We start from the raw sequence: 27,803 nt of genomic DNA, 5'->3' as shown, positions 1-27,803 counted from the left end.
TTATGAGCCCCAAAACTGTATTGTTTACTACTGTGTATCCGGTAAATAGAATACCACGGTACAATAGAAATGCAATGCATGCCACATATATAATTTTAAATGTTCTAGTAGCCACACTAATAAAGTAAAAAGATAAAGATCAAATTTTAGTCTTTAACCTCAATAGTCCTTCTCTAAGATGTTATCACTATAAAGAAATTGAGGTATTTTACATTCTTTTTCTCATTCTTCTTCAAAATCTAGAGTGTAATTTACCCTTACAGTGTATCTCAGTTCAGACTACTACAATTCAGGTTCTCAGGGCCACATGTAGTGGTTACAATGGACAGCGCTAACATAGAATACTTGGCACATAGCCGGCATCCAGTAAATATTTGTTAAAGTTAATATTCTTCTATACCATTTTAATTCTTCTGTAGTCCAGGAATAATACAGTAATGTCACGTCATTAATACCACCCAATTGACTTAGCCATTTCCTTGTTGGGCATTTAGGTCTTTTCCAATTTTCACTTTTTAAAATAATTCTGTAATAAACATCTATCTGGTTCGTACCTGTTTTTCCTTGGAATAAATTCCCAGAAAGTATTAAATATGGTAATTGCCCCAGAAATGATATGTCACGTAAGACTTCTAATTGTTTATGCTTGGTTCTTGTTAATGACTCTTGTAATGTTAACAGGGCAGGTATTGCTGTGATGGTTATAATTACAAACATATTAGTACTAATGTTTTGTCTGCTGCAATGCATCAGGCACTCTGCATTAGGTTATGCATATCTTATAGATGAGACACACGAGGCTTGGGGAAGTTACAAACTTAGCACTGGACTCGCACTCAAACTGAGATCTGGGTTAATCTATTTTCAAAGACTGGGTGTTTTACGCTGGGACAAATTAAGAAACTAAAACTGTTTTAGTTAAGAAAGAAAACAGAAAGGAAGAAAGAAAAGGCTAAGTAAAGACAAGGGAAGGAAAACGAAGAAAGCTGAGGAAAGGACAAAAAGTTAAAGGCTGGAAACCCGGGCGGTGCAGAAGCGACCCTTATCTCGCCGGTGCAGAAGCACCGTCCGACCCCCGGCGCGGGTGCCCGCCACAGTCCCAGTGCCCCGCCCGGTGCAGCTCCCTCTCCGCCGGCCCCGCCACCCGCAGCCATCCCACGCCTGCCGCCCCGGCGCTCCACTCGGGGTAGCCGATTAGCAGGCAGCTTCCGGCCTCCAGCACTGCACCGCCTGCGGTGCGAACGTGACGTCCGCGACACAGGGGGGGACTTCCGGCGCGCCGCGCCACGCCACGTGTTCCGCACCGGAAGCGCGCTTCCAGTCGCCCCGGCAACAGCCGCCTCCCTCGCGTCCCCCACTCCCCCTCTGTCTCTCCAAGGAAAACTAGGCCCCTGCGCGGCCAACGCCCAGGATCCGCAAGCTGCGCGCCCACGAGGTGACTTCGGGGACGGCTGGGTTTCCTTTGGGGAGTGAGGGAGGAGCTTAGACGCCCCGGGCCCTGGCTTCTTCTGATGCGCAGAGAGCCGAGGTCTTGGACGTCACGTTGCTCTCATAATTATCTTAATCCCGCGACAAAAGGTGGGGCCGGAGGCCCATGAGATTCCTAAATCATTGCAGGTTAATTGTGAGAGGGGACCAGTCCCAGAGGCTCTCAGCTCTGCAGTGCTTCCGAATCACTGGACGACTCTTTAAGAATTCTGATCCCCGGGCCCCCATCCCGGACCAATGAAATCAGAATCTCTAATAGTGGGGCCCTGGCATCGGTAGTTTTTAAAGCTGCCCAGGTGATTCTGGGGTGCCGAGAACCACCGTGTTAAGGTCTGTAGGTGAATTCGGATTTTGCCCATCCAGTCCAGTATCTGAATAGAAGATCGCCCAGGACAGCCACATACTTGAAGGATGTCTAGGATATTGCCCTCTCTGCTCAAAAATTCGGGTTTCTTTCTTTTCTCTTGCACTTTAACCTCTGCAGGAGGTCAGCTTTTGGTGGGAGTTATCTTGAGACATCTGGCGCCTACAGTTTATGGGCCTTGTGTCTCTGCCCACTTATCAGTAATGAGCTGTAATTGAACCAGTGGCCAACGAAGTGCATTTTAGCTCTGAAATCTTGATGTTCCCTTAGTACAGATCAGATGGTTCTGAACAATTTTATTTTTTTCAGGAATGATGTTTTTAAACTCGTTTGACAGGCTAGGCTGTGTATTCAGCTGTTCTTCATCTCAAATCAGAACAATATTACTTAAAAAATCTAGACTAAAGATTAGTAACGCAACACTTCTAGGATTATTTATGCTCACAGCCCCCATGAATTGTAGGATGAGAGCTACCCTTTAAAAATACTATTTTTGCTAGCATAATTTATCGGAATAACAGTCTCTTTGTAATTTCAATGTGAACAGAAACCATATATTTTTAAAGACTGCTGGTTAGTAACTTGGAATAAGCATAACTGAAAGCAAGTTCACAGGTGTATAAATCCCCTCTGTGTGTTCATTGCTGTGCTGGGGAAGTATACAAACTAAAGTTCCAGAGAGAAATGTTCATTCTGAAACTGTTCTATAGATGGTGATTAATCATTTTGGGTTTTTTTTTAAAGGATAGGGTGAGATGAGAATGACGGGGGAAAGTTTTGAACAGTTAAGGCTAGAGTGTAAATTGGAGAGTTTGCAAAGTAGGTACAGAACTTTTTTTGAACAACTTCTCTACAAGAGGAAATTCAGCCACGGAACAGCTGGACAAGTGAAAAAAGAATGTAGTTGATCAAATATCAGATGAATTGAAAAGATCTTTGAAAACATAATGTATTTAAATATTTGCTTCCTGAAAAGATTTGGTGCTTTATAGTCAGTTTTTTGAGTTACTAGGTCCTCAGAGATTTTGGGGAGTAGATGCAGGAGGAGAGAACGTTATCAGGAAACAACAGACAAGCTCAACAATTTCAGCAGCATCTAAGAGCATGAAATATTAGCTATTATTTTTATGCTGGAAGGAAAATAGGAAACTTAAAAGGAGTAGATTGTAGAATCCATGCCTACAGGTAACTGAGTAAGTGCCCAAGTAAATGAGGCATAGTGAGTGCCTATAAATTCAGAAAAGAGAGATTAACATGGAATTACCGTGAATATGTTTATAGAAAAAAGTAAATTTGAAATAAGACGCCTGAAATGTACTAGCGATCTTAACTACTTTAAACTAGCCATGGTTTTTGCTGTTATGCTCTTAATTTGCAGAACCTGCCTATTCAACCCTTATTACCTTATGGTCACACTAGGTTTTGCTTATGAAGGACATGCTTGCTGTGAAACAAACTTATCTGTTTCCTCTTTTGAACTATGTTATCATTATGTCATTCTCAGTCATCCCATTGCTTGTTGTGTTCCTGAGTCAGAGGGTAACTTTGTTCCTGGCCTCATATTTCACTTTTGATTCTGATATTAGTCACAAGGGGATTCAGAGAACTTGCAAATAAACCCATTCACAAATTCATCACACTTGCTGACAAATTAAACAATGCCCTTCTGTGGGTGGAATGTCATTTGTATGAAAAAAAGAATTGTTAACTGCATCCTTTCAGCCTTACTCCTTCCCCATGCTATGCCTTCTTTGTGACAGTACTTATTACAACATCCAGAAGAGGGTAAATTGGGGTTGGGGATTGAGGGAATGAAAAGAAAATAAAACTCAGTTTTTTGGCTCCCTTGCCTATCAGTTTTAACTGTAGCTATTATAGACGGGGAGATGCAGGCTTTCTGAACACAGTGGCATGTGCACTTGAGTAGGCCTGTGTCCTGCCCAAGATGGAGCTTGGATGTCTGCAGGTGGAAGAAGGCCATTTGGACTTGAGCCATCTTTGATGTCCAAATCACTAAGCAGGGACCATGCAAAGACACAGGAGGGAGGCCATGAGGGCATCAAGCCAGATGAGCTTGCCAGCCTCAGCAACCAGCCAGGGATGGGGGCAGGGCTGCCCAAGTAGGTGGGGCAGGAAGCCCAGCCCTCAACAAAACCCTATTATATTCTTTGTCTTAGTGAGGAAGTTCTTACTGTTGTGTGTATTATTGGAAGACATCTTCTGTGATAGGGTTATTATTGCATGTACAGAGAGATTCCTTGGAACCGCATATGACTCAATCTATCTCACTCAGATTTCTCACCATACCTTCACTTATTTTGCTGCAGTGTCCAGCAGATCTCCTTGAAACAGTGTGTACTGAAGACCTAACTAAATCCTCCAAATTACCTGGTTGGTTCAGAGAACCAAATCACTGGAGCTTTGTAGGGAAGGTTTGACTTTCAGGGCTTTAGCCAGAGTAACTTATTTAATGATTGGCTTTTAATGTGTTTCTGTGCAAAGATCAAAGCAGGTGAATTTTCATGTATTTTTAGAATTCTAGTAGAAAAGGAAGATAGGAAAATCTAGTTCAAGTATACATTCTAGTTTTTAGGGGAATTTGTGTTTTTATTTTACTTTTTTGGTTGCTACGATTTGTCCTATATTCTATATTTATAAGAACATAAATATGTAATTAAAAGAATATATTTGATGGCACTACCTGTCAACAAAGCCACTTATTTGTGAAATTTTTTGGTAACTTGATGGAAATAGTCACATTTTATCCATTGAAAACTACAAAGCTCTTATCTATTGTTCTTTGTGTATATTTATGCATTAAAAATAGATCCTGCAGGATGAGCAGATGTACTGAAGTGTAAATCCGTTTTTTAAGAGAGGCTATATGGAAAAATATATCATTCAAGACTCAGTCTCTGCCTTGCCTATAGGCCTCGTCAGTGTTTAGTGAATGACCTCAACCCTGTTTTTTTCCTTCCTTCTTTGGTGGTTGAGGACAGACAATGAATGGTCTCTGTACTCGCCTGGGCTCAGCTGGGTGGTGGCCATTATGCCATTGTGCTCACTGGAGAGGGCTGCCGGGTTTGTAGAGCTGCGGATCCCGGCCTTCCCTGACATTGCCAATCTCTTTTCTTTCAGCTCCACCAGCCCATTGGAGAAAAGTTACTGTTCAGTCCCTGAAGGCTTGTGCCATAAAAGAGTGGGAGACATTCCCAGGGAGGTGAGGAATGAAAGATCGAATTAAAGACCATTAAAGACCAAAGGGCATCTAAATCTGCAGCAACCATCAGCTCTCTTTTCTTTGAGAGGTAGTAGTCTCTGAAGGTGTTGCTGTAATGTCTATAATTATTTAGATGTTGGCTTTTCAGAAACCCAGGCATTCTTATTAGCTCCTTAAGTTCTCCATGCGTGAAGAAAATAACCAGCTTAAAAAAGCTAATCGGACCTATCTCTAGAAGAGGACCTCTTCTTCCCTTGGGAGCTAACTGATATTAACTGACTAACTGATTGCTTAGCAGGAAAGAATATATATTCTTTCCAGGGAATAGAGATTCAGAGCTCTGTCCTGTTTGCTTTCTAAGCCCTGCTGATTGATATGGTTTTGCAGAATTTTTATTGTTATTTTTAGTTAAGTCTTTAAATGTTTATATGGATATTTAAGAAAAGATCCAATTTCCTTATTTAGTCATGGAGAGTGTTTTTTTGTCCCACATATTAGCAACCGGTCAACATGATTGCTATTGGTCATAGTCAGTTTTCTTGCCTCCACTAGTCTTTCTCCAAACCTAATCATTTATGAAACGTGTGAGAATCGTGAAGTTCGTCTACTGATTCCCAAGTGGAAACTGAGGAACAATTAGGATGCTCAGTATATTCAGAGAGAATCTATACAACTTCAAAATGTGTTAACATGAAACAGGGGTGGGCAAAATAAAAGCCCACAGCCTGTTTTTTGTACTTCAGGAAGCTAAGAATTGTTTTTACATTTTTAAAGGGTTGTTTGGTGTGTGTTTTTTTTTTTTTTAAAGCAAAGAACGTGAAGACTATGCGACAAAGACTGTATGTGGCCCACAAGCCTAAAATATTTATCTCGCCCTTTACTGAAAAAAAATTGCTGGCATAAAGTAATAATACTGGAAAGACCTAGCTAAAAATAATTATAAAGCTCTATGCAAGTTGCTATTCCTTTAAACATGTTTTTCTATGCCTTATTTGACTTTTGAGAGACGAATGTGTAATTCTTCAAGTCAATTATTCAAATTGGTTAATTTGAATATAGGATTTTAGGAATCTTAAAAAGACTTAAAATGTAAAAGGCTATTACAAGTACAAGTACATTTTGGGATTTAGGGAGAGAAAATAATAAAGCCAAGAGTGAGATGAGCACAGTCTACATACAGCCTCAGGACTTTAAACTTGATGGAAGATGGCAGCAAGTTTGATTATAAATGTCCCAGTGGTCAAAACTGTGAGGAAAGCATAATCAAAGCAAAGCAAAATTGCCTACAGAGTTTCTTGCACTCCATCATTAACATAAATTCATCCTTTCATAATGTCCTGGGTCTTAAGAGTCTAGCACCTTAGCTGATGAATTAATATATTTAATTAATGTAGATAGTGGGCACTCTGGGCTTATTCTGAACTGCCTCTGGTTCAGAAGCTGGAACTGGCTTTCTTCAGTCATCTCAAATGATTCTCTTGGCTTCTTTCTTGCATAAGTGCTCAGGATGTACCTGGGTGATCTCTGAGGCCTTCTAACATAGCAGCCCTTCTACCAGATGATTTGTTGGATCAAAGTTACCTCTCCTCAAACTAGTGCTCCCTCCCTCTTCTTTTTTTTTTTGTTTTTGTTTTTGTTTTTGAGACTGAGTCTCACTCTGTCACTCAGGCTGGAGTGCAGTGGCACGATCTCAGCTCACTGCAACCTCCACTTCCTGGGTTCAAGCAATTCTTGTGCCTCAGCCTCCCAAGTAGCTGGGATTACAGATGTGCGCCACCAGACCCAGCTAATTTTTGTATTTTTAGTAGACATGGGGTTTCACCATGTTGGCCAGGCTGGTCTTGAACTCCTGACCTCGGGTGATCCACCCACCTCGGCCTCCCAAAGTGCTGGGATTATAGGCGTGAGCCACAGTGTCTGGCCCCTCCCTCTAAATCACAGCCATTGACATTTGAGCAGCCTGGAGAACATCATCAATTACCCTTGAACTCCTTAAAATGGTAGTCTACTTTATCTCACATGCCTAAACTTCCAGCTTTGCAAAATGGAGCCTCTCTTAGCCATCTGGTGGATTTTCAGAATATTGGTGCTACAACCTTTAATACCACACTGGATTTTCCCAATTATAACTAAAAACAAGATTTTGTCTATAGTAGTGTTTGATCTCAATGGTGTTTATTCCATATTTGAGGCTATCACACTTCCCAGTTTGGAATAATTGATATTTTAGTTGACCTGGTTCTAAATGCCTTATGATGCGTAGAAAGAAGTCTGGATTCAAAACACTTAATTTCCAGAACACATGCAGATGTCTCCTAGACTTTTCTAATTTAATTCCTGTGCTGCTTGTTAATCTATAAAACAAATTTGATTAAGATACACATGCAGTTTGCGTTAATGTCATTATGTGCTGCAGGCTCTCAGAAAATTATTCAGATTTTAGTGATAAAAATATAAAACCTGGGCCGGGCACGGTGGCTCACGCCTGTAATCCCAGCACTTTGGGAGGCCGAGGCGGGCGGATCATGAGGTCAGGAGTTTCGACCAGCCTGGCCAACATAGTGAAACCCCATCTCTACTAAAAATACAAAAATTAGCCAGGCATGGTGCCACGCGCCTGTAATCCCAGCTACTCGGGAGGCTGAGGCAGGAGAATCGCTTGAACCTGGGAGGCGGAGGTTGCAGGGAGCAGAGATCATGCCATTGCACTCCAGCCTGGGTGACAGTGTGAGACTTCGTCTCAAAAAAAAAAAAAAAGGAATATAAAACCTGGTTCTAGTGAATTAGCCACTTAAAGGCTGCACCTTACAGTTTTGCTCTTAAGTACATACTAATTTCTACATAATTTCAAGTATGTTTTATTTCTCTGAGTGGTAAGCCACCTAAGTATTAACTTTTATATTTCTTCAGTGGCCCGGAAAGCACATAGCAGTTAGCTAGGTTTTCAGGTACTTGTTCATGTTTTAAACCTTTAAAACATTAAAATTATAGATTAATGTGAACTTAATTTACACTGCATTTGTTAACTTTTTCAGTTTATATTCGTTGCATGTATGCATAGTATTGAATTTAAGACAAGGAACAGGAACTATGGGCTATGTTTAAGATAAATTTACAGAAGGTTATGTCAGCCCTCTTAGAAATACCCTATTTGAAAGTTTATTATATTCAAAAAGAATGTGAATGATTCTCTTTCAGCTAAATCTTAAAATATAGAAGTGGTTGATTTAGCATCTCAGTTCTTAATATAACCATAGCAAAACATCTGATAGAGATTATAAAACAAGTAAAGTTTGTTTCTTAAGGGTTGGGGAATGTTTTAATTCTACCCTATAGTTAAGTGAAAAGGAAAAATAAGACTGCTTTGGTATCTGATTTCCAAAGTTTCAAAACCTAAGTAGTTGTTTGCTCAGCATTACATTGTGTTAGTGGTTTTGTCTCACAGAAACTTAAATTATCATGCATTTTTGGATATTTTTGTTTAACTTTTTAAAAGTACATTCTGGTGTAGCTCTGAACCTCTGAATAGAAAAAAAAAAAGTCTATTTTAAATAGATTGAAAAAGCTACAGCTGCAGATTAGCCATTACTTTTGGGTATTTCATGCATCGAATCAGCAAATCACAACAGGTGGGTAGAGAGAAAAGGAGTAAATCTCAGCAGAGCAATGCTATTTGCCAGAGGCAGTCTATCTGGTGCCTCAGTAGAGACTCCATGGAGTGTTTTTTTCTCCTGTGAAGAGACAGGGTGGTTAGGCAAGGAGAGTGTGATGTCACATGCTGGCTGAGAAATGCATATTGCAATCAAAATGAAAACAAAGCCCATTTGGGGAACTTAAAGCCCAGGGCACAACTGAGGCTGGAGAGATGTCTTATTCTCCAAGTCCCAAACCTAAGGCAAGACCCAACAGAGGTTTCTGGTCATTTGGAAAGATGTGTTCCCCTCAAGCCTCAGGAAGACCCAGGGTTAATTTAAGTAAGCATTAGCATGAGTTAAGGATTAGTAAATAAAGTAATAACTATAAATTTTTAGTTCATGTTTTGTATATTGTGTGTGTGTGTATATATATATACACACACACACATATATATACACATTATATATACATGTGTATATATACATGTGTATACATACATATATGTGTATATATACATTATATATACACACATATATATGTGTATACATACATATACATATATATGTGTGTATACATTATACATTATACATATACATTATCTGGGACTTGGAGAATAAGACATCTCTCCAGCCTCAGTATATATATCAGTATATATATACTATATATATATATATATATATATATATATACACACACATTAACTACTAAATATTTATATGGTCATTTTCATAGACTTTACTTCCTATAGGGAAATAAGTAATTGAACCATGCAGGATCTTTTGACCCACTTAATCAAACCTAAGTGGATCCCTCCTTTTCAGACCACAAAGTTATAGCCCAGGAACCAACGTCATATAGATAGGTTGCATGAAATCAGGCATGGTCCTGGGAAGAGGCAGTTCCTTGGGAGCTGCCTCACAAACCATAGAATAGCCACAAATATCACACAGCCATACTGATCAGACGTTTGCACTGTGATTCTTCTTTCCTAGTTTCAGCACCCATTTGGACTTTCACAATCAGAGATGGCAGCGGTAAAGGTAAGATTTTTATTTTTTTATTTTTTTTTTGAGCTCGTAAGTAAAAAAGGTAAACTTTAGTCTTTTTTTTTATACTTTAAGTTTTAGGGTACATGCGCACAACGGGCAGGTTAGTTACATATGTATACATGTGCCATGTTGGTGTGCTGCACCCATTAACTCGTCATTTAACATTAGGTATATCTCCTAATGCTATCCCTCCCCCCTCCCCCCACCCCACAACAGTCCCTGGTGTGTGATGTTCCCCTTCCTGTGTCCATGTGTTCTCATTGTTCAATTCCCACCTGTGAGTGAGAACATGCGGAGTTTGGTTTTTTGTCCTTGCGATAGTTTGCTGGTAAATTTTAGTCTTTAAAGTTTGGTATTCTCATTGCACGATGGAGAAGACCTAAGAAATACAAAAGTAAAAGCACTATTGGGTGCATTCCTAGACATCTCTTACCCCAGGCATTTAGGGGTGGCTCAGGCCAGCAAGTTAGTTTAGGGGGCAGAAAGGGAAAAACTAAAGTCTGTCATGCTTGTCAGTCTAGTGTGGTTCTTAGCAGGCCGTTGCTCAGTTGGCAGTAGTCATTTAATTACAGTGGGTAGAGAGGGCTAAGGTGATAAACATCCAGTCTTCTCTCTCCCTGCGTCTCATCTAGAAACGATCACTAGCCTTCATCCCCACATTATAATGCTCCATAGCTTTAATTGGCTGGCTTGTGCATACCTTATGTACATGGACTTAGCAAGTGTGCATACACTTGGTGTCCACTGTGGGCCTGGACCTATCTCACACAATATTTTGGGCCCAGTAGCCTCCTCATGTAGGTAGGTATTTAGCAAATACTAAGTAAATACCTGTTGGGTAGCAGATTAAACATTTGAAGATTTCTCTTGAGGATAATAAACACTTTGGTGTCCACCCTCCACCTCCTTTCATTTTGTAGGCATCAACATCGAAAGCTACCAGGCCTTGGTATTCTCATCCGGTATATGCAAGATACTGGCAACATTATCATCAAGCAATGGCTTGGATGCAAAGCCATCACAATGCCTACAGGAAGGCCGTGGAATCCTGTTTCAATCTTCCATGGTACTTACCTTCTGCGCTTCTTCCCCAAAGCTCTTACGATAATGAGGCTGCGTATCCTCAGTCCTTCTATGACCATCATGTGGCCTGGCAGGACTACCCCTGCAGTTCTTCACATTTCAGAAGATCTGGGCAGCATCCACGTTACAGCAGTAGGATCCAGGCATCCACAAAAGAAGACCAAGCTTTGTCCAAAGAGGAAGAGATGGAGACTGAGTCAGATGCAGAGGTAGAATGTGACCTGAGCAATATGGAAATCACTGAAGAGCTCCGCCAGTACTTTGCAGAGACCGAGAGGCATAGAGAAGAACGACGTAAGTTCAGGCCTCTGTCTCTTCATGCTTCCTTTCCTTGCCCTGCCTTTTACATTTTTTTTCTCTAATATATAAAGTAATTTTATAATTCTTCATTGGCTAGGGTAATATTCCAAATCCAGTCCTAAGCCTGGAAAAGCTATGGGGATGCTGTACCTTGCTTATGTTAGTTTCTGGAGTTGTTTTAGTATAAGACATTTTTTTGTTCCAGAACAAAGCTTATCCTAATAGTAGTTCTACTATTTATTAACCATTAGACACTCTACCAAATGGAGTGTGTATGCATGCATGCTTGTGTGTGTGCGTGCTCTGATCTACACAGCAGTCCCTCAGAGTATTAAACTCATTTTATATATGAGGAAAGTGAACCTTAAAAAGGTTAATTGACTTGTTCCGTGGTACACAACTAGTAATTTGCTGTTAGGATCCAAACCAAATCTGCCTACCTCTACTTCCTGTACTGCTTTCTGTATACTAGGACTTGTCCCTGAGACTGCTAGGTTCCTAAAATACTTTTGCCATTCCTCTGGGACACATCTTGGAGATGTCCTTGGTGCTAGAGGTCCCAAATCTTAAATAGCATGAACCTAAACAGAGTAACGAAATGCCTGGCACTTACAACTTTCCTGTTGGTTCTGCATTGAGGCCCTGTCCATGGGGTCAGAGAATTATGATAAAGGTCTTATATCTTCAGTCAAAAACAGGAATTTTCTTTTTAAATTTCTTACCACCTTACTAGAAAGAACTAGAACAGCTTTTGTGCTCTCCTATTAAAATTCACCAGACCATTTCTAAGTACCTCTAACTGAGATACAAATGCTTCTTTCCCTATTATAACCAGTATTCATTCTCAATTTTGTTTTAAGTGAGGCCTAATTGTATGACATTTTACCTACAATTTTCCAATGACACAGAAGCGTAGAAACCTGGGAATGGGAGTTTCATTCCTGTCTGTCATTGTCAGCATTTTCCTAATGATGAATTAGCTTTTATTGATCCCCACTGGATGCCAAGAACTGAGCACTGGGCTTTGTATAAAATATTATATCCTTTAGTATCTTCGTCCGTGATTCTTCACTAAACTACTTGTTCAGATTTTTTTGACTTCCTTTCTTTTGTTTAAACTGTGTACTTCTTTAAGCATATTAGAAAGTATATCCAGCCAGGTGTGGTGGCTCACACCTGTAGTCCCAGCAACTCGGGAGGATGGCTTGAGCCCAGGAGTTTGAGGCTGCAGTGAGCCACGATCACACCACTGTACTCCAGCCTGGGTGACAGAGCGAGACCCTGGCTCAAAAAAAAAAAAAAAAAGAAAAGAAAAGAAAGAAAAGAAAAAGAAAAGAAAGAAAGAAGTATATCCAAACAAATACTTTTAAGACAGTACTTTCTATTACACACAGAATACTTTTGCTTGATCTCCAGAAATAAATTTTACCCTTTTTAAAAATATAGATACGAAACAACCATTAGTCTAATATATACAACAAATGAGAAGCATTGGAGCATGTCCATGTTTGGGTTGGAATGCTGTTTGTTACAGCTTTTGACAGAGAAAATGGGATGGAGATCGAGTTTATTACTCTTGTCCTTACCAGAAAGTAGAATAACATGTTTTGCCCACTAGAGGTTGATACTTTTATGATGGAAATTGTAATTATGGATGGAAGCAAATCCCAGTCATCTCAAAGGTGACTTTGAATTATCTGCTGGTTTAAAATAAACTTGAGTTAGTCAATAAAAAGTGGATATGAATAAAATAAAGATAAAACAATGAAATGTGTCCTTGCACCAAAGAAAAAATGTGAACGGTTCAGTTACAGATATTGTTAACAACCATCCCTATTCCTCCCTCTTGCCATTGTTAGGTAGAACTCTAGGTAGGTAAACAAAATCATGAAAATTACCTGCTAAGTCATACTTGCCACTTAATATTATTTTGAGTGAATAAATGAAGTCTTTCAGTGTGAATTAGAAGCCTTAAATCAGAGGTTGGCAAATCTTACCCATAGAGTGCTACACTTGCAGTGATTCTGTGGGACATTTTACAGAATGAGCTAGGCCTTGTGTGCATTATAAACTTGATAAGCTTCATCTCTGTGTTTCATATTATTTCCAAATCTGTCTAGTTACTTTACGGCTCCAAATTGCACTTTCATCATCTGGGTTGAATTGTATCTCCCCAAGAAAGATACAGTGGAATCCTAACCCCCAGTTCCTCAGAATGTGACCTTATTTAAAGACAGGGTCTTTCCAGAGGTAATTGAGGTTAAGTGAGGTCATTACAGGGATCCTAATCCTATGTGACTCAGGTCCTTATAAAAAGGGCAAAATCCGGACACAGAGACAGACACACATGCAGTGAAAACACCATGTGAAGATTGACATTATGTCGCCACAATCCAAGGAACATCCAGAAGGTGGGAGAGGCCTGGAACAGATCCTTCCCTAGCACCTTTAGAGGGTTTATGGCCCTGCCAACACCTCGATTGCAGACTTCTGACCTCCAGAGCCATGAGACAATACATTTCTGTTGTTTTAAACCACCCAGTATATGGTACTTTGTTATGGCAGCCCTAGGAAAGGAGTACAATCACCCTGGGAGAATTTTCTTTGTCCCCAAATGCAATCTGTGACTGGGACATAAAGTAAACCCACAGTTCTTGTCATCTGTCTGAAAAAACTGTATTACTTATTTGTTTTACTGTGATCTAGATAGCAAACCATCATAAAAGGGAATTTTATGAAAACCCTTGCAACTTCCATCTTGAACCTCATTTTCCAGTATTCATATTATTGCTGGCAACAGTGTATGGAGGCAGCTGTGGCAGAACTGCTTGAATCACAGAGGTCCAGCCTCACTCTACCACTCGCTGATTAGAGGTTCTCGTCCTCCTGTAAGCCCCCTGCCTTCACCATTCTTTGCCTCAGTTGCCTCACCTATGAAATAGGATCCTAATTAGTGGGTAGTAATTATGAAGAATCCCTAATGGGTAGTAATTGTGAAGAATCCATGAGATAATATGAGAAAAGTTATAGAATGGTGCTTGGTACCAAGTTGGTGCCCAATAAATGTTATTGTTACAGTTAGTTGCTAGTAACCCATCCTTTAACATGGATTATTAACCATAAATTGGTTTTTCTCTGATACCGTTTGCCTTGATTAGTGCTTGATTGAGATTCTGTACATATATATATATATATATATATATATTTTTTTTTTTTTTTTTTTTTTTGAGACAGATTCTTACTCTGTCACCCAGGCTAGAGTACAGTGGCGCCATCTCAGCTCACTACAACCTATGCCTCCCGGGTTCAAGTGATTCTCCTGCCTCGGCCTCCCAAGTAGCTGGGATTTCAGGCGCCAACCACCACACCCAGCTAATTTTTTTATTAGTAGTAGAGATGGTGTTTCACCATGTTGTCCAGAGTGGTCTTGAACTCCTGACCTCAGGTGATCCACCTGCCTCGGCCTCCCAAAGTGCTGGATTATAGGCATGAGCTACCGCGCCCAGCTAAGATTCTGCATATTTTTAATAAGATGTTCTGTGACTTCAGAAAGGTCATATTTCTGCTCTGGGTGGCACCTTTCAAACTTTTAAACTGATTTAGAATATTAAAGACATGAAAGAATGAAAGTTTTGGTGTCTATCAAATTTAGCAATTAACACAGTTTTTAGTTCTGTTTCAAGGATATTCTTGCTTGATAAAATTTAATGCAGTAAAGTACATGGACTGGGAAAATTAACCCACTTCAATATTACTAATAATGTCCCTAAACAAGCTTTCAATTCTTTGTATTTTTAAAATGTGTAGTTACAGCATGATTCAAAACTACTTTTCTTAGCGTCTGTGTCATGCTCCTACAGCCTTCCCTGAATGCATTAGCTGGTCCCAGGGAGATGTGAGAATTGTCTGGTGAGGGTGAGAACAGACTGTGGTGTCAGACTGGAATCTAAAGACTTCGTCTATATTAGAAGCAGCTGCCAGGGCCCGATCTTGCACCAGTAAGAAAATAATGGGCAATAGATCACTAGCATTATTTTTTTCAGCAGCACTTTTGGTGAGTACAGGATGAACAACTGTTCTTCAAGCGGTAATGAATGATGGAATTCATATGTAAGTAATCTGAGTGCCCATGGCGCTTTCCAATTCATTACCTTCACCAGAAATTTTCATGGAGGGTTAGTTACATACACTGTTGGAAAAAGCTTTAATAAAGAGATAAGGGACCTGGGTAGTATGAATAATTGGTTCAAGTTTTTTGTTTCATTTTGCTCTCAAAACCACTAGAAGCTACTTATTCAATAAGGACATTTTCAGCTTTGAACATGAATGCTTTGAAGAACACAGGATTTTAGAAAATGTTACTAGCAAGAGGAAATGTCACTAAATTTGAAAGATTTAACTTTTCAGTATTATTCACTTCCACAGGAACATACAAGTTATGCAATTCATCATCGCCTGAGTCTTGTTTAATATTTTCTTAGGATAAAGGCCTTCAGATTGGACAGTATGTTCTTTTTTGTGATTGCTACTCAGATTCCAGATAGTCTCTACTTTAACATATTTCAAGGATAAAAAACACCAAAAGCTTGACTAGGATAAGAACTCCTTTTGTACAGTGGGAACATGCATGCTTTTGATTATGTCTGTCATCATTTCCTAACAAGATATTTCCGTTACTTAAAGCTTCAATGGAAAATAACTTATGAGAAAGTTTACAGTTATGAAGTTTTAAAGGTCAGCTGTGTTTTCAATTATTTCTTAGGAAAAATGTTTATTATTAGGTTAAGAAAAATACCATTTTGTAGTCATAAGTGACCACTGGTCGAGACTGCAAGGTTATATTGCTAATACTTAGAGGGAAAATGAGTGGAAGTCACCCTCAAAAGAGAGTAAGGCCCTCTGAAACAAACACCACCACTGTTTTCTCGGGTTTGAGCCAATCAGGTATTTATGACCTATGTTTTGAGGGTGTTGGCTCAAAACAGGGACATATTCTAAAAGCTTAAACCCCATTGGGAAGAGGAGACAAAATGAAATGTAAAGTGACACATAGAAGAAGAGTGTCTATGGTGTGGTTCATGGTTATACATGCACATGAGGGGTAGAGCCAGTGACCCAGGCAGTCAAAGGAGGAGCACCGCGGGGCAGCTGTCAAGAAGTAAGGTATGCACTAGGCCAATTTGAGGGATAGGGTCAATTTGGAATGAGAGAAAAAAGGACTTAGTTCACTCCCGGCTTAGACACTCAAAGTGCTGTTCTTACCAGAGAGCCCAGATGTGGTTTTCATATGCCCAGATGTGGTTTTCATACGTTTGAGGGGAGACATCTGCTCCATTACACTGTGTCCATCTGAGTGGGAAGGCTGAGACTGTAGTTTTCATAGTGAGCCTTTAGTCAGTCAAACCTAGAGAGAACCCGGTGAAGTTTATGGCCCAGTATTTAGTGAGCTGTCTTGCTTTAGTCAATGAGGTTGAAGGATGAAATTGCAGTGATTGAGCACAATCCTGACATGCGTGTGTGTTTCATCTGGTGCAGATATTCACAGGTGCACAAAACCGATCAGTGAGATGATACGTGTTAATGGCTGTAGAAAAGTGGAAAGGAACATGAAAATGCACTTCTGTTGTAAAAGTAAAAATGGCGGTTGTCCAGTAACTTCAGGATTACATTTGTCATGGGGCAAGGGATGTGCGACGAAGAGAGAAGACCAGTCTGAAATGGCTCCAGTTCTGCTGGCATGTACCTGTGTTCTGGGTGGTTGCTGACAAGCCAGAAATGAGGCATTCATGGCATACATCAAGTTTGTGCTTTCCCTCGGTTGTGCTACAATTATTCATTTTGGCAAAATAGCAGAAAATATAATCAGAAAGATGTACTAGTCCTAGGAAAGTGAGGGGAAAAAACATTCTTTGCCACTTGCTGCCTCCATGCTTTATCCTCTAACATGTTCTGCCTTTGGGCTCTATGTGTGGAATAATCTTGGATGAAAGTTTTCCTGCTATATAAGATTCTCTGAAGTCCTGGTAACTTTCCATGATTTTTTTTTTCCTTTATGGACTATTACGTGATGTGACATTGGTCACATCATGTAGACAAATAGATTGATGTGAAAAATACCAGGATTATGTATCCTGAACCCAGATGGAATCCAGTAAAGCTTTTCCTTAATAATACATGCCTATTGTTCTTGTTTTAACCTATATGCATATTAACCCTTGTATTAGCCTCCCAGGGCTGCTGTAACAAATTACACAACCTGGGTGGATTAAAAAAAAAAAAAAAACAGATTTATTCTCTCACAGTTCTCAAATCAAGCGGTCAACAGGACCACACGCCCTCTGAAGGCTGTAGGGCCTCACCTCTTCCAACTTCTGGTGTTTCCTGGTGTTCCTTGGCTTGTGGCAGCATCATTCCATCTCTGCCTCCATCTTCATGTGGCCTTTCCCCTGTGTCTGTGTGTCCTTTTCTGTCTCATACAAGGACTTTGTCATTGGAGTTAGGGTCCACCCTAATCCAGTATGATCTCATCTTGATCCTTTAATTACATCTACAAAGCCCTATTTCCAAATAAGGTCACCTTCTGTGGTTCCAGGTGGACATGGATTTGAAGTGACACTATTCAACCCACTACAATCCTATTTTGAAGCTGGAATAGAATCAAAAAAGATTTCTGATTCATATTAAAACAAATTATCTTGCCAAAATACCCTATAAAAGTGTATGGCAACATTGAGTCCTACAGCTGTTTCCAATAAAAATGACCAAACCCTCCATGACAAGGCAACTGTTCATTGGCATCTGAAGTGTGATGTCCGTACTGGTCTGCTTTGGTCAGATGATTTTCCATCTGGCTGGCTGAGCGCTCACCTTGTTTTGACAGCAAGGAAAACTGCCAGTGATTGAGAATCCGTTTTCGTTGGAAGGAAGGAAGGAAGCAATAAATAGAAAACAGAATGAGTGGATGCCTTCAAACTCTGATACTCCATTCTGAGGTTTACTTGGTCCCCTAAGTCAGTACACGCTAAAGTACTTTCACATGCTGGCTGTGACCATCAGTGCACAGCCTGTCTGCAGTTATTTGGTTTTAAACTGACTGGTTTTCAACTTGTAGCCTAGCCTTAGGACTTTTTAAAAAATTGTGTGAGTAAGTAGAGGCAAAGCAATTCGAATGTAAGAGAACAGGGTCCGACCCCAACTCATTGGTGCCCCCCCCCATAGCCCCTCTGCCTGGGAGGCTCTGAGGAACCCACAGGGAAGGGAGTTCTGCCCAGCACCTAGTGAGATTTGAGCATCTGTTTCTCAATCCCCGAGTTGTCATTATTGTTCTTTAACAGCATCTGGAAGGAAAAGAGCTGTTTACAAAAAAATCATGCATGGCCTTTGAGCATTCATTTGACAGTCACTTCCTGAGCATCTGCTTTGTGTCAGGCATTGTGTCCTCTCAGGTCTGGGGGTACAGCTGTGAGTAAAGGTGACAGTGCCCTTCCACCATAAATGACCCCCACAGGGTAGGTCGCAGGTGACAGGCTTCTTGCCCTTTAGTTCAGTGTTTTAGGGCCACTGTTCACTATGCAGGAAACCATTAAACCTCCAAATCTCTTGAGAGGCAAGGAGGGGATAAGGGTTGGGTCTTAAATTTTCATGAGGGGCCAGGCACGGTGGCTTTACGCCTGTAATTCCAGCACTTTGGTAGGCCAAGGCAGGTGGATCGCTTGAGTTCAGGAGTTCAAGACCAGCCTGGGCAACATGGCAAAACCCCATCTCCAAAAAAAAAAAAAATACAAAAATTATCCAGGCGTGGTGGCACACACCTGTAGTCCCAGCTACTCAGGAAACCAAGGTGGGAGGATCGCTTGAGCCCAGGAGGCAGAGGTTGCAGTGAGCCAAGATTGCACCACTGCACTCCAGCCTGAGTGACAGAGCGAAAAAAAAAAAAAAAATTCATGAGGAAGCCTGAATGGGAATGAAAAACAAATAAGAATCAAAAGCAGAGGGCTGTGTCTTTTATTTTTGTATTCTTACACCGTATGAACTTTATTAAGAACTAAAATCATGTGATGGTAACCCATGGGCACACGCTGAGTACAAAGTTGGAAAATTGTACCAGCATCATTAACTGGGGTTGCTTTGTGTTAACATTGTGTATCATTCACAGATGTCAACAATAAGAGAACACATCTCTCTATATATAATTGTTACAAACATTTTAAATTATAAGGAAAAGAAAAAAAAAGATGCAAAAGTTCAAAGACTAAACTCACAACATCCTACCGACAGAGAATACTTAGGATAGCTAAGATCTCAGTGTTCATTCAAACTTCTAAACTCAAAGACTCGGATTTATGCAGGAAGTTGAACATGTCTTGTGTCACCAGATCTGTCAGTGAAGCTGATTATAGTCTTGGGATAAATTTGAGAGTAATGTGACAGTGGTCTGGGAACTCTGACTGTGGGCTCTGCCCTCTGGATGCAGAGACTCCAAGGCACTCAGCAAACCCACCTGTGGGATCGTCTCCTCCAGATAGACCAAAAAAAAAAAAAAAAAAAAAAAAAAAGAGAGCCATAGGATTGGTAATGGGTACAAGGCTGCTCATAGATGGCAGAGGGACTGTGTTGTGCTAATGTGGAAATGCCAAGCCTTCAGAAAAGTAGCCCTTGAATGAGAGATTCTTTAGCCAAATTCTACCTTTCCTGGAAAGCCTGGGCAGTGCCATCAGCCCACCCACTGCCTGCTCAAGGTTCCTAGAAAGAGGCAAGTGGGAAAGGCCTGTATGAACTTAGTGACTGAATATATCTCACCAGTCTGTACTGCCCATACCAAGACCCAGTGTCCTAGGTCACCCCCGCTCTTCCTTCTAAAAGCACGAAGCTAAGCTTTCCTTCAAAGTCAGGTTCAATCATCCCAGGACAGAGGCAGGAGAAAAACAGAGATGCCCCCAGGGAGAAGCTAGTCCCCAGCGGGGCTTTCACCCTGACCTGAGTACCAGGAACACACAGAACTCTTGCGGAAATAAGAAGCTGTCATGGCGGTTGTCGAGTGCTTTCTCTAACCCACTGTTTGGCTCATCCACTCCCACGCCACTCCAACACAACTCAGTTTAGGGGGCATAGAATTTAAACACTTGTGAGAACTGAACAACTTATATGCTGATGTTTCAAACTTGGCAGAAAGACCAAAAATTAGAAACAAATGCTTGGTGGCCCCCATTCATTTGCATATTAGGCCAATATTTTGGTTTCATTCTGCATTGCCCAATGAGTTAATCATACATTTTTTCCATGGGTGAGGTAGCAGTTACGCAGCTTTTATTGTGTTTGATAGTCATTGGGCTTATTCATATAAGCCCTTAGGTAAAAATAAACTGTGGATGTTCCAAGACAGCAATGGCCACATACATTTTTAATAATGTTTCCAAGTTTATAAAACTCCTTCCCTCCAATGCCATGATGATGCTTATAAAGAGCAGGATTTATGCGAGCGACTATGCATGGCCTTATAAATATCTTTCCATTCACACTTGATTAGCTCACTACCATGTTCTGTTCCATGTATTAGTACAGGGAGGACCAACAATGGAAGAATGATTTATATGATTCTTTTATTTCCCTACAACCATCTTCACTCCTTATCTCGTGGTGTTTCTCTTGATAGCCATAGTAGCCGTGGATATGTGTTCCCTGCTGTCAATTTCTCTCTTGACAGAGTCGCTTACAAGAGCTATGGAAATTGGCTAAATTTAACCTTATGCAGCATTGTCTTACTGATACTTTTATGTTGTTGCAGTTTACATAAGAATAAAAATTATGATATTGGGACTTGCCATAGTAAAAAACAGAGGGAAGAGTAAATTGAATAGATACTTCTTGCTTTACAAGAATCCATTTAAATTAGTAGGATTAAAAGTATGTAATGATACCACTTGCAGTTTAACCTAGGCCAACCTATGAAGTGGAAAGTCAAATCCCGTAGTGAGAAAACCAACCCATTATTGCAGATTTTTTGATATAGCGGGAAGATTAGAAGTCAGAGGCCTTAATTCCATTTGTAGAATTGCCCTTTCCTCACCCTTCTTCCTTCAGCAAGTGTTGACTCATTTAACTTTTCCTTGCTTGGTATGATTTGCATTTCGAATCTGTGGAAGGATAATCAATCATCCATCATCATTGCATACTGTGCTTGCTAGCACTTGTTCTTTTCCAGGTTACCTAAAATCAATACCTCTTCCAAAGGAGTGATTTTTTCCCCCCACATCACCTCATTCATGGTGGTAAGCACTGCTCGCAACACTGGACTTTCCAGGAAGCTTTTTGTTTCCCTGCTGGCCTGGGGCAGTGTTTGAAACCAAGCAAGCTCTATCAGCCATTCCTAGCTGGGCAGGTGGTGAGTGGGCCGTGCAGATGAAAAGAGAGAACCTCAGGTGGGTTCATTTCTTTCCTGTGTTTTCAGGGCTTGTTGCAGAGGTTTGGTAGTTTGGAGTGATGAGTTTCCTTGTGGCTCTTCACCATTTCTTTTTCTTTTTTTTTTGACACCGGGTCTGGCTTTGTCACCTGGGCTGGAGTATAGTGGTACACTGCAATCTCTGCCCCCTGGGCTCAAGCCATCCTCCCACCTCAGCCTCGCAAGTAGGTGGGACTATAGGCACTCAACTCTTTGCCATTTCTCTCAGTGTATAATAACCCCTTGGTAGGTGAATGATGATAATAATCTGCAGGTCTTGCCTCAAAATCTGGTAAGCATCTCATCTGGAACACTTGGGCCTGGTTTCACAGTTGGAAAGGGAAAGATGAGGGACCTTAGGGGGCTGCAGATGGCATGGCCAGCAGCAGCAGCACTCACTGGGCTCCTTCTGCAGTGCACACACGTGTGTTTATGTTCATGTTCACGTTCGTGTTTGTTCTCAGGGCGGCAGCAGCAGCTGGATGCAGAGCGCCTGGACAGCTATGTGAACGCTGACCACGACCTGTACTGCAACACCCGCCGGTCGGTAGAAGCCCCAACTGAGAGGCCTGGTGAGCGGCGCCAGGCCGAGATGAAGCGTTTGTACGGGGACAGTGCTGCCAAGATCCAAGCCATGGAGGCCGCGGTGCAGCTGAGCTTTGACAAGCACTGTGACCGAAAGCAGCCCAAGTACTGGCCGGTCATCCCCCTGAAGTTCTGAGCTCAGGGCACAGGGTACCCAGCCTCTCCTTCTTCCTTTTGGGTACACGCTCTTTATCTCTCCTTCTGTACATTTCTTAGGGAAAGGGGACTTTGTACTGGGGTACAGGCATGTTCACCACAGTCCCAGTGGGCCTGTCACGGGGTGGATGTACTATGCCAGCCACTTGGAGGTCTGCAGGACATGTTCTGTTGCCAACATGATAAATTTTCTCCTGACATAAAATAATTTTGCATATACTATACTGGTTTTTTATGTTGTTGGTAACAGTTCAATTCATTAACGTTCTTGCCTAGAGATACTGCCTGGTGTTTTGCTTTTTTATCTTTTCTTGTCTTTAACCTGTCTGAACTACACAAATGCCTTTAAAAAACCAGATATCCTCTCTGACTCTAGCTCCATTAGCCCCCACTAAAAATGAGCCAAGTGTGTAGTGAGACAAATACCACTACCTGTAGTGGAGAGGGATGCATGTTCTATAAAGGGCCAGAGAGTGAATATCTTTGGCACTGCAAGCCACACGGTCAGTGTTGTGACTACTCAACCCTCCCTTTGTAGTGTGAAAGCAGCTGTAGACAGTAAGTAAACAAATGGGTGTGGCTGTGTTCTAATAAAACTTTATTTATAAAAACAGGCGGCCGGGCGCAATGGTTCATGCCTGTAATCCCAGCACTTTGGGAGGCCGAGGTGGGCAGATCACGAGGTCAGGAGATGGAGACCATCCTGGCCAACATGATGAAACCCGTCGCTACTAAAATACAAAAAATGAGCCGGGCATGGTGGTGTGTGCCTGTAATCCCAGCTACGTGGGAGACTGAGGCAGGGGAATTGCTTGAACCCAGGAGGCAGAGGTTGCAGTGAGCTGAGATCGCGCCACTGCACTCCAACCTAGAGAAAGAGCAAGACTCCGTCTCAAAACAAAAACAAAAACAGACTGCAGGCCAGATTTGGTCTACAGATGGTAGTTTGCCAACTGCACCTCTCATGGAATGAAAATCACCTGCCTGACATTTTTATTCTTGTTATCTCATTATGTCTACAGAGCTTAGATGTCATACAGAATTGAGAGCAAAGAACAATAATTCCGGCCCGGCGCGGTGGCTCATGCCTGTAATCCCAGCACTTTGGGAGGCTGAGGTGGGCAGATCACGAGATCAGGAGATCGAGACCATCCTGGCTAACACGGTGAAACCCCATCTCTACTAAAAATACAAAAAATTAGCCGGGCGTGGTGGCGGGCACCTGTAGTCCCAGCTACTTGGGAGGCTGAGGCAGGAGAATGGCGTGAACCCAGGAGGCGGAGCTTGCAGTGAGCCGAGCTCCAGCCTGGGCAACAGAGTGAGACTCCATCTCAAAAGAAAAAAAAAAAAGAACAATAATTCCCAAACCTGGTCACTGCTGCAGTCACCTCTGTTGCAGAAAACGCACAGTTGATTTCTTACTATATACAGCAAATATTGATTTGATAAAGGAATACATTTCTGAAAATGAAATCTAAAAGCTGATGGAGCAGGTCATTTATAAAAGCCAGCTGCCTTTTAAATAAGTTATTACAGTACATTGCCAGGGTGAGCCCATGTTGACCTGAGAAGATTAGCACATCCATCAAAGGCTGGTGAAAAGATTTAGTATTGACATGTTTCTCTCTAAGAACAGTTGGCTTCACATTCAGCCCCTGCCCTGAGACAAATGCATTATTTTCATCAGCCCTGGGTGCTTATTTTTCTAAGCTCTCATTTTATTACTGGAGTCACAATTTGTGTGTAGGTGTTGCCGACAAAAATGATAATTAACTTTCCCTTGAGGTGACACATAACTAAAATTTCAAATCTTTAGTATTTCTCCCTTTCATTTTAAATTCATATGCCTAACTATAAAATAACTGTGACTGAGATACAAGTACAAACCAAAGCCTGGAATTGCAGCAGGTGCTGAGGCATTTGAAAGTGAAATGTTTCTCTTCGCAAAGGACTCTTATACCCTCCCCTAAAGAAATCACCATGCCGGTCTCACCCCTACTGGCTTTGTTACCTAAGGCTTCACCTCTCAGTGCTTCTGGTTCCTTCCTTATCCTTAAAATGAGTGTTAATAATTCTCTCGTGGGGTCATTGTGCGGACCACATTGAGTAGTGCCTGTAAAACAGTGCTGGCTACACGGTAAATACTCAATAAATGTTGACACGTTTATTACCTGTCTTTAAAAATCACTGGGAAGTGCCAGTGGGAGTCTTGAGTATAAAATTTCTAAATACGGAGAAATGTTTCCCTGTCAGCTCTCCGAATGGATGCGCTGGCTTCTGGACACCTCATGCCAGCCCATCCTTCCTCCTGCTTGTCTCAGATAATTTGTGATACAAGGCACACGTGACTCGTTTGTTTGTTTATCCAACAAATATTTGAATTTCTTCCATCACAGTTAGTTAAACCATAGTCTCTTCCCTCAGGATTTTTTTTCTCCCTTTTTTTCTTCTAAATCCTACTTTTGCTTCTGTCTGTTGGTGACAGTCTGATGGCTATTCTCCCTGTGTCCCTGTGTATGTGAGAGTAGATGGGCATGCAGAGCTTATTAGATGTCTCTAGCTCAGGCCGGGAGCGGTGGCTCACACCTGTAATCCCAGCACTTTAGGAGGCCAAGGTGGGCGGATCGCCTGAAGTCAGGAGTTCGAGACCAGCCTGGCCAACATGGTGAAGCCCTGTCTTTACTAAAAATACAAAAATAAGCCAGGTGTGGTGGTGCACACCTATAGTCCCAGCTACTCGGGAGGCTGAGGCAGGAGAATTGCTTGAACCCAGGAGGCAGAGGTTGCAGTGAGCCGAGATTGCGCCATTGCACTCCAGCCTGGATGACAGAGTGAAAAAAAAAAAAAAAGTGTCCCTAGCTCTTTGGCCAGTCACAGAAGAATCTGTGGATGTCTTCACTGATAGGATCACATGGCCTTTTAACAAGGCCACCTTTGCCACCGAGGGGAACATGTGTTGGAGGCACCAATATCTGATGGAAAAAACAAACTTCTTTTTTCTCTACTCGCACTCAATACAACAGAGAGCACTTCTGACACCAGATGTCAGGGGGCTTTTCCCTACACATCAAGCAATTTCTCCAGGGGCCACCAACTGGGTGTCCTATAATTCATTTCTGACACTATCTATCTGGAGGTAGCATCAGATCCCACAAGTTAAAGGCCCAGTACCACAGGATTGCCCCCGACTTCAGATGCCAATCACAAGTAGTAGGTTGTCACGTATACTTCTGACTGAACAGCTATCAATTAGGGTTCCCACGACCTCCTCTTTGGGTTCAATTAATTTCCTAGGAAGGCTCACAGAACTCAGGCTCACACTTCTTGAGTTTACCTGCTTACTAAAGGATAGTACAAAAGATACAGATGAACAGTGAAGAGATGCATTGGGCAAGGTATGTGGAAAGGGGTGCAGAGTTTCTTTGTCTCTCTGAGCACGCAGCCCTTCAGGAACCTCCACATGTTCAGCAATCCAGAGGCTCTCCAAACCCAGTTCTTCTGGGGTTTTTATGAAGGCTTCATTACATAGTCATGATTGATTAAATCATTGGCCATTAGTGACCAACTCAACCATCAGCCCATCTCCCTTCCCTGGAGGTTAGGGGGTGGGCCTGAAAATTCCAACCTTCTAATCATGTGGTTGGTTCCCCTGGCAGCTGGCCCCATCCCGAAGCTGTCCAAGAGCCCACCAAGAGTCACCTCATTAGAACAAAAGACTCCCATCACCCAGGAAATTCCAAAGCATTTAGGAGCTCTGTGTCAGGAACCAGGGTCAAAGACCAAGTATTACAACAAAAGACTTTCCTAGTGCCTCTATCTACAAGAGTTTCAGGGGGTCTATGTCAGAGACCAAATATATATATTTTTTATTATCTCACAATATCACACAATGGGGGGCAGGCAGACCACTTACAAGCCTATTGCAGAAAAGGTGTTCAACCTCACTGGTAACCAGAGAACCACTAATTACAATAAGAGTGATATTCCATACCCTTCAGATAGGCAAATGTCTAAAAAGAATAAAAATGCTGGCCAGTCACGGTGGCTCATATCTGTAATCCCAGCACTTTGGGAGGCCAAGGCGGTTGGATTGCTTGAGGCCAGGAGTTCGAGACCAGCCTGGCCAATATGGTGAAACCCCGTCTCTACTAAAAATACAGGAAAAAAATTAGCCAGACATGGTGCCATGCACCTGTAGTCCCAGCTACTTGGGAGGCTGAAGCAGGAGAATCACTTGAACCCAGGAGGCAGAGGTTTCAGTGAGCTGAGGCCGTGTCAGCCTGGGCAACAGAGCGAGATGCTGTCTCACAAAAGAAAAAGAATAAAAATGCCAAGTGTGGCAAGGACGTAGAGAGATGAGAACTCACATTGCTATGGGAGTATAGGTTGGTCCACCCTATTGAAGGGCACGGTGGCATTTTTCTTGCAAAGTTAAAACAGGCACATATGACCCAGCAATCCTACTCTCAGGTATATGCCCAAGAGACACTCTTCCATGTGGGCACAAGGAGGTGCACAAGAGAGTGGGCACTGCCACATAATAATAGCAAACAATTGGAAACAAATTAAGTGCCCATCTACAGGATGTGGGTAAGTAAACTGTGGAGTGTTCAATGATGGCATACTACAGGAGCCCTTAAGAGAAATGAGCTAGACTACATGTATGAAAATGCTAGTGTCGAGGTGAAAAAGGAAGTTGTGTAGGTATAGCATGATAACATTTAGCCATAACTTTAAAAAATACACACCATGCACGCATATATGTACTAAAATCTAGAAACATGCATGGAAAAGATTCACACACATACACCCCAACTTCAGAATAGTGGTTAGTTCTGAGTAGGGAGAGGTTGAGACACCACTCAAAGGGGGTTTTTCTATCTGTCTAATGTTTAATTTCTTTAGAACAGAAAAGCAATGGTAATAACCCAGCTTTGATGGAGGCCCCTAAGTTTATCAAACTCTATTCTAACAAAGTAGTTTATCTTTCACTTCATTTCTAGGGTTAAATGTTACAGGAAATGTTTACTTTATCAAACACTTAAATAGAGCTTACTATAAGCCTCACCCTCTTCTAATTGCTTTACAAATACTAATTTCTTTAGCAATCTATCTATGACAAACCTATGAGGTAGCTATTACAGGTACAAAACCTGTTTTCCAAAACCCTTAGATCATGTATGTTTCAGAATGTAGGCATTTTTGTACTTTTGAAAAGTAAAACAGCATATTCTAGAACTTGGCCCAGTGGGCTAGGGTAGCCTGCCACCAAGATAGCTGGACTATAAAATGGAAGAATATTCTAAGTATGATAAATACAGACCATAAATATCCTCAGTTCCATCCAGGTCAGGTTTTGTCATCAAATCATTAAGGTCAAGTCAGGTTGTGCTGCCAAACAAATTTTAAAACAAGAAAAACCCTTCCAGTTTTCAGACCTTTGGGAATTTCAGAAATGTGTTGAAGGAATATTATTGTCATTTT

General features: G+C 41.5%; 1 protein-coding gene across 11 annotated transcripts in view, besides 5 other annotated features; it reads left to right on the top strand.

Moving 5' to 3' along the window:
• Positions 730 to 1,230: an enhancer, noted in NCBI's record as "H3K27ac hESC enhancer chrX:14048101-14048601 (GRCh37/hg19 assembly coordinates)". NCBI's record gives its function as "activates a minimal SCP1, AML or CMV promoter by ChIP-STARR-seq in primed H9 embryonic stem cells {active_cell/tissue: H9 hESC(primed)}" and the evidence as "EXISTENCE:reporter gene assay evidence [ECO:0000049][PMID:30033119]".
• Positions 730 to 1,731: a biological region, named in NCBI's record as "H3K27ac hESC enhancers GRCh37_chrX:14047600-14048100 and GRCh37_chrX:14048101-14048601".
• Positions 980 to 1,119: a silencer, noted in NCBI's record as "silent region_20670". NCBI's record gives its function as "represses an Ori minimal core promoter by ATAC-STARR-seq in GM12878 lymphoblastoid cells {active_cell/tissue: GM12878}" and the evidence as "EXISTENCE:reporter gene assay evidence [ECO:0000049][PMID:35858748]".
• Positions 1,154 to 1,353: a silencer, noted in NCBI's record as "fragment chrX:14047978-14048177 (GRCh37/hg19 assembly coordinates)". NCBI's record gives its function as "represses an EF-1alpha promoter that drives an FKBP-Casp9 reporter gene in an ReSE screen in HepG2 liver carcinoma cells {active_cell/tissue: HepG2}" and the evidence as "EXISTENCE:reporter gene assay evidence [ECO:0000049][PMID:32094911]".
• Positions 1,231 to 1,731: an enhancer, noted in NCBI's record as "H3K27ac hESC enhancer chrX:14047600-14048100 (GRCh37/hg19 assembly coordinates)". NCBI's record gives its function as "activates a minimal SCP1, AML or CMV promoter by ChIP-STARR-seq in primed H9 embryonic stem cells {active_cell/tissue: H9 hESC(primed)}" and the evidence as "EXISTENCE:reporter gene assay evidence [ECO:0000049][PMID:30033119]".
• GEMIN8 (gem nuclear organelle associated protein 8) overlaps positions 1,320 to 27,803 on the top strand; it is a 45,708-nt gene continuing 19,224 nt past the window's right edge. Inside the window, exons 1-6 of one of the 11 annotated variants that reach the window (XR_001755703.2) lie at positions 1,320 to 1,435; positions 4,991 to 5,072; positions 9,701 to 9,748; positions 10,678 to 11,134; positions 22,043 to 22,313; positions 23,342 to 23,484. Coding sequence is in view for 5 of the 11 variants with exons in the window: in XM_005274555.4 (XP_005274612.1) it covers positions 4,803 to 5,072; positions 9,701 to 9,748; positions 10,678 to 11,134; positions 22,043 to 22,299 (1,032 nt within the window). In the remaining 6 variants the exon portion in view is untranslated. Of the gene's footprint in view, positions 5,161 to 9,700; positions 9,749 to 10,677; positions 11,135 to 22,042; positions 24,487 to 27,803 lie in introns of those variants that run through there. The other 10 variants (XR_001755702.2, XR_007068192.1, XR_950464.4 and 7 more) reach the window with 10 other exon arrangements.

Source organism: Homo sapiens, chromosome X, assembly GCF_000001405.40.
Source record: "Homo sapiens chromosome X, GRCh38.p14 Primary Assembly".
Taxonomy (NCBI): Eukaryota; Metazoa; Chordata; class Mammalia; order Primates; family Hominidae; genus Homo; species Homo sapiens.
This window is presented reverse-complemented; position numbering and strand designations above follow the sequence as displayed.